The sequence below is a fragment of the Homo sapiens genome, chromosome 12 (genome assembly GCF_000001405.40).
Source record: "Homo sapiens chromosome 12, GRCh38.p14 Primary Assembly".
Classification (NCBI taxonomy): Eukaryota; Metazoa; Chordata; class Mammalia; order Primates; family Hominidae; genus Homo; species Homo sapiens.
In genome coordinates this window covers 92,516,057-92,522,056 of record NC_000012.12, presented here as the reverse complement: position 1 = coordinate 92,522,056, position 6,000 = coordinate 92,516,057, and the positions used below count along the sequence as shown (strand labels likewise).

The following is a 6,000-nucleotide window of genomic DNA, read 5'->3' as shown; positions in this document are numbered from 1 at the left end:
TCCATCTAGATAGAGACTAGGGGCTCACCTGCAGGAATGAGAACTTATGTACTCTTTCCTCATTTAAAAAGGGATGGATTGCCTGGCTTTGCAATTCAGTTCATCAAGGCTTACTTGCATCTGCCACTCCTTGCTATTCTCACAGAAACATATAATTTTTATTTTATGCAGGCTTTTCTTACTGGTACCATAGATGTAAATATCTTTTGTATCTTTATATCTCTTACTCAAAAGCAGAAATTTATTACTGTTTGATACCTATTGTCAAATCTCAATGGAAAACATTATGTTATAATCTTTGTCATGGTTTGTTCAGGCTACTATAACAGGATATCATAAACTGGATGGCTTATAAACAACAGAAATTTGTTTCTCACAGTTCTAGAGGCTGGGACATCCACAATCAAGGTGCCAGCAGATTCAGTGTCTGATGAGGGTCCAATTTTTGGATCATAGTTGGCTGTCTTTTTGCTGTTTTCTCCCACTGCAGAAGGGGTAAAGGAGTTCTGCTGAGTCTATTTTTATTATTGGGATACTAATCCCACTCATGAGGGTTCTCCTCTAATGACCTAATTACCTACCAAACACTCCACCTCCTAATACCATCATAGTGAGGATTAGGATTTCAGCATAAGAATTTTGGAGTGTCACAAACAATGTCTATAACAGTGTTACATCTTCAACTTTGGCTACTTTTTTTTGGTTCATATGAAACTTTCAGTAGGTTGCAAGCCTTCAAAGTGATGGCAAGAGTCTACTCTTTAGGAAATTTATTTTGTATTTTTAAAAATGTTGCAAAATCTACAATAGGTAACATTACAAAGAACATCATCAAATGAAGAAAGTCACTTATGATTTTCTCAGAATAATTTCTTAGAACAGAAATTGCTGGGTCAAGGTTGCAGGCATTTCAAAGCCTTGATAAATACATGATCAACATACCTTCTGGAAGATTTGTACCAATATTCACCTTAACCAGTGCTGGAACAGATATGTTTTCCTCTAATCACACCCAATTAAAAAATCTTTTTAAGGTAAGTTTGATGGTTTAAAAAGATTCTTCCTTTGAACATTTCTTTTTATAACTAGTGAGGCTGAGCATCAACATGATGTCCACAAGTCCTCCTGTGAAAGGATTTTTCCTTCACTACTTCTTCAACCTCCTCATCCTCCATTCTTCCCTGACTTTTCAAAGTTGCAGCCACATGGGCCTTATTTCAGTGCTCAAATGGGCCAAATTCTTTCCTGCTTTGAAAATTTTGCCTGTGCTCTTCCCTCTGCCTAGAACACTCCATCCCAAAATCTTTGCATAGCCAGATCCTTGTTATGATTCTAGCATGACTGCATATGTCACTTCCTGGGGTTTTCCCTGAGTTTCTATTCTAAAGAAGCCTGGTCTCTTTCTTCATGCCATTGATCAAAATTTGATAGTATCCTGCTCCATAATTTATCTGTTAATTTTCTGTCTCCTATCACTAAGGAGTAAGCCAAGGGAGAGAAGGAACCTTGTGTGTTTTGTCCACTGTTGCACCCCCAAATTTAGAGGAGTGCCTGTCACATAAGAGATACTCAAAAAATACACTGAATGAATAAATGTTTTTATTTTTACTGAAAGTTTGTATTTATGCTTTGAGGAGCACTTTGGACTGAATTGTTTGTCTCCTAAATGTATAGGTTAAATCTCTAGCCTCCAGTGTGATCGTATTTGTTGGTGGGGCCTTTAGGAGATGATTAGTTTAGACAAGATCATAAGGGTGGGCCTCATGACGGGATTAGTTCCTGCATAAGAAGAGAAAGAGACACCAGAGCTCTCTTTCTCCCTGCCAGGTGAGGATATAATGAAAAGGCAGCCATCTACAAGCCAAAATGAGAGCCCTCACCAGAAACCTTTCATGCTGGAACCCTAATCTCAGGCTTCCAGCCTCCAGGACTGTGAGAAAATCAATGTCTGTTGTTTAAGCCACCCAGTCTATAAATATTTTAATATTTTGTTATGGCAGCCCAAGAAGACAAAGACAAGGAGTATATAAGCACATACATTTTCCACGTTTGCTCTTGAGATCTATCTTTCTCTCTTTCTTTCTTTCTTTCTTTCTTTCTTTCTTTCTTTCTTTCTTTCTTTCTTTCTTTCTTTCTTCTTTCTTTCTTTCTTTCTTTCTTTTCTTTCTTTCTCTTTCTTTCTTTTCTTTTTCTTCTTTCTCCTTCCTTTCTCTTTCTTTCTCTCTCTTTCTTTCTTTTTTGTAAGATACAGCTTACTCTTTTAGTTTTTCAATGGATTTTCAGAGAATTGATGAGTGAAGTCCATCTCAGAGCGGCACCTGCTGATGCATCTCCTGATTCACCAGGAAATCTTATTGCTCTACGCTATGAAATGGTGGATGAGTTTGTACTGTACATTTATCTATAGTTGAACTTGATGCTATTTAGTGTTAATAGACTATTATTCATTAAAATTTGGCACCCAGACAGAATTAAAGGTCTGAGGTCAACAAGTTTGCTTGTTTCAAAACATCTCTGTCTGGTTCTTCCAGTTGCTCTTTCCCAGTAATGCTTGCTGATCTGAGACAGAGAGAATCACTGTCTCTGTGTTTTCTCAGTACTGCTTGAGTAACCTTTAACATCACATGATTTTTGCTTGGCTATTATTCTCCCTCTCCAGCATGTCACCTTCTTCTTTTTCTACCACAGTGAACTCCACCAAAACCTACCTCATGTATCATCTCCTTTGAGAATCCTTTCCGAGACCTTTTAGACAGGAGTCAACAAACTTTTTCTGTAAAGGGCCAGATAGTAAATAATTTAGGCTTTGTGAGCCAGTGTAGTGTGAACGCTGCCATATATAAGACGTAAATGAATTTGCATGGCTATGTTCCCATAAACACTTAATTTACAAAAACAGGTCAGATTGTAGTTTGCTGATCTCTCTTCAAAAGAATTAGTAGACCTAAATTATTGTGCTTTTGAAATTGTTAGGTATATGGTTGTTCATTTGTGCTACTTTGAACGTAGTTACAGTGCATTTTGCTCTGTTTCTGGCACATGTATTGGACATGCAATAATTCTTTGCAGAAAAAAATGAAAGGAAGAAAATATAAGATAACTGTAGAAATGGAGAGACAGAAGCAAGTGAGAAAGTTACTATATTTGATAAAATAAATAATGCTAATGACTATAACAGATAAAAGCCCAAACCTCCGTGTCTTAACACAACAAAGATTTATTTTTTGCTCATATCATAGTTCAATGGTGAATGACAAGGTGAAATGATAGAGTCTGTTCCACACAGTCATTCAGGAACCAAGGGTCTTCCATCTAATGGCTTCACCACATACTCTAAATCCTCAGTCCTCTCCATTCAGCTAGGGAAAGAGAACTAGGTTCACAGGTGCAAGGTTTTTATGGCCGAGGACTGGATATGGTACACATCACGTTTGCCCACACTGTTGGTAAGATCTCAGCCACAGGTACCACCCAACCATAAGGGAGGCTGAAAAATATATTCCGGCTTTTGCCTAGGAAGAAGAGGGGAATATGGCTATTTGTAAGCACTAGCAGTTTAGTTTGGACTGCTTTAAAAGAAGGCAATGAAGGGTTAAAGCAGTATGTATGAGAAAGCCATACTAAATTATTTGCTTCTCAGAGGGAGGAAGCAGGACTTTCAACAATGGCCTACTGCTTAATTTTCTCCATAGAACTTTGCAGCACTCGTAAGTGTTGTCATGTGCAGATAATAAACTATCTTAGATAAATATAGGTGTATGCTAATGTGGGAGGAAAAACACTGATTGGCCATACTCCAAGATACATCAAAACACTCCAGCAGATGTATGGGAATGCATCCGCCCTCGGACTGGGTGAGGTTAGTGGCGTAAGTTTAGTTATTTTAAAGCCCAAGTTACAATTATCAATCTCCTCAAAACAATTTAATCCTAATTTAGTTTCAATTACACTGAGTCTCTTTCTCAGTAGCTGCAATTATGTCCTTCAAAATAATCCCACTGGACATTTCTCAGAGTTATTGACAGTAATTTCTTATCAGAGTTGCTGGGAAGTAGGGGTAAGGATGAGCAGGTAAAGATCTTATATATATTAAAGCAGTTTTAAAGTACTTCATGAAAGAAAGACATTGATAAGGCAAAAGCGTGTGGTAATTATAATATTCTTATTATCATTCTTTTAGTTTATTTGTTGCAGTTGACTTGCTTATGGAGTTAAAACACCAGTAATAGTGCTTGCCTAAGGGAGATTAATCTACGAGACTTTTTCTTTATTAGGGGATTACAGGCAAGCTGTTTTCCTGGTGATGCAAAAAGGGATTGTGGGTTCCTTCCAAAATGTTACTTACTTTAAAAGTCTAGTTTTAAGTGGGCTTTCCAGTAGAGTAGATAATTTGGAGATTGATGCAATTTAGCATTCGTTCCTGGGCATTAATTCCTGTTGTCCCTGTGGTGGTTTGTGGTGCAAATTTCAGTATCCGGAATTAGACTTAGGCTCCTGAGCTGAGACTACTTGAAGAAAGCCAGAAAGAAGGTTGGAAACAAACAAACAAACAAAAAAATAACACTACCCTTTCACTTTAGAAGAATGAAACATCTTAACTCAAGCCACACTCCTTAAGTAGGCCCTCCACTTCTTCCATGACTGCTCCAGAAGTATCTAGCGCTGGTCCCACTCAATCTCCAGCAAAGTCATCTGCATTTCATAACTGCTGTCATAACTCTGGGGAGGGTATACAATTCTCCCTATTGCCATACCAAAGAGCATGTATATATTTAGCTCAATAACTAGGCTTAGAAGTTGGGCATAATGGGTTGTTATGACTTCTGGTTTCTGTCCTGTCTTTTCTCTTAAGACATGAGTTATCTTGGCTGACACTAAAAAACGAATACAATGCAGGTGTAGTGAGAATGAGTGAGGGCTGTAAATTTGTTTTTATCATTGTTGAGTTTTCATTTTCTTTATGTTTAAGGAATTTGCATGTATATCTAAGAATGTAAAATTAACCATTATAAAAAATGAAAATTATGTACATGTACTATTAAAGAATGATTGTGTTAACCAAAGAAAGAGAACACCATCATTAAATAGCTAGTTGAGAGTTGATTTTGGTTTGGAAAGTAGAAGTTCACCGGAGAATTCCCAGGGAAGTGGGTGCTACATTAACTGGGCACTGGGAAACACAGTAGCCTCTCAGTAAATGATAGTCATTGGCAATGACTGAGTGTTCACCATGTCCTGGGCACTGTTTTAATAACCCTATGACATGAGAACTATAGTATAGGCACTATGATTCTCATTTTATAGATGAGAAAACTGAGGCACAGGGGATTTATGGATTTTGTCTAAGTTTGTAAAATAAGCTCAGAGCCAAAATTCAAACCCATCCAGAATGGCTCCAGGATGCCACTCTGGATAACCTCTCTTACACTCTATTGTCACCAGCTTGGCATATGGGTCCCCTTCCCTGGGTCCCTTTTCATTTTCCTTTTTTTTTTGGGGGGGGCGGGGTGTAGTTCTAAGAAAAGAAGGGACTATCCTTTTTCATGTAATACTCACAGCTTTTCTTCTCCTGTTCAGATAGCAGCCCCAGCTCCAGGTGGAAAGGACAGCTTACTCATCAAGGGAGTTACAGTGTCTGCAGCCTGTACTGAGTCAGAGTATCTGAGAGAGGTAAGGAGACTCTAGCCCAGTGTTGAAAGGGGGAACAAAGGGCCTTCTCTCCTCTTCAAATGCCCCCAAAGGGCTTCAGAGCAGGTTAGCTGGGATGATTGCCTTGAAGCAGGTTGAAGAAACATTTTTATTGAGGATAATTAAGCAGAGATAACTACTGTCCACCCCCTGTTCTCTCTCTCTCTCTCTCTCTCTCTCTCTCTCTCTCTCACACACACACACACACACACACACACACACACACACACAGAGTACATGATAGTCATATATGTTTGAATGTTCATATTTCAGCATTAATAAATTGATACTTGCTAGCATTGTGGTTGCATG

General features: G+C 38.3%; 1 annotated feature.

The window, feature by feature from the left end:
• Nucleotides 5,517-5,717: a silencer, noted in NCBI's record as "peak1884 fragment used in MPRA reporter construct". NCBI's record gives its function as "represses an SCP1 promoter by STARR-seq MPRAs in K562 erythroleukemia cells {active_cell/tissue: K562}" and the evidence as "EXISTENCE:reporter gene assay evidence [ECO:0000049][PMID:32103011]".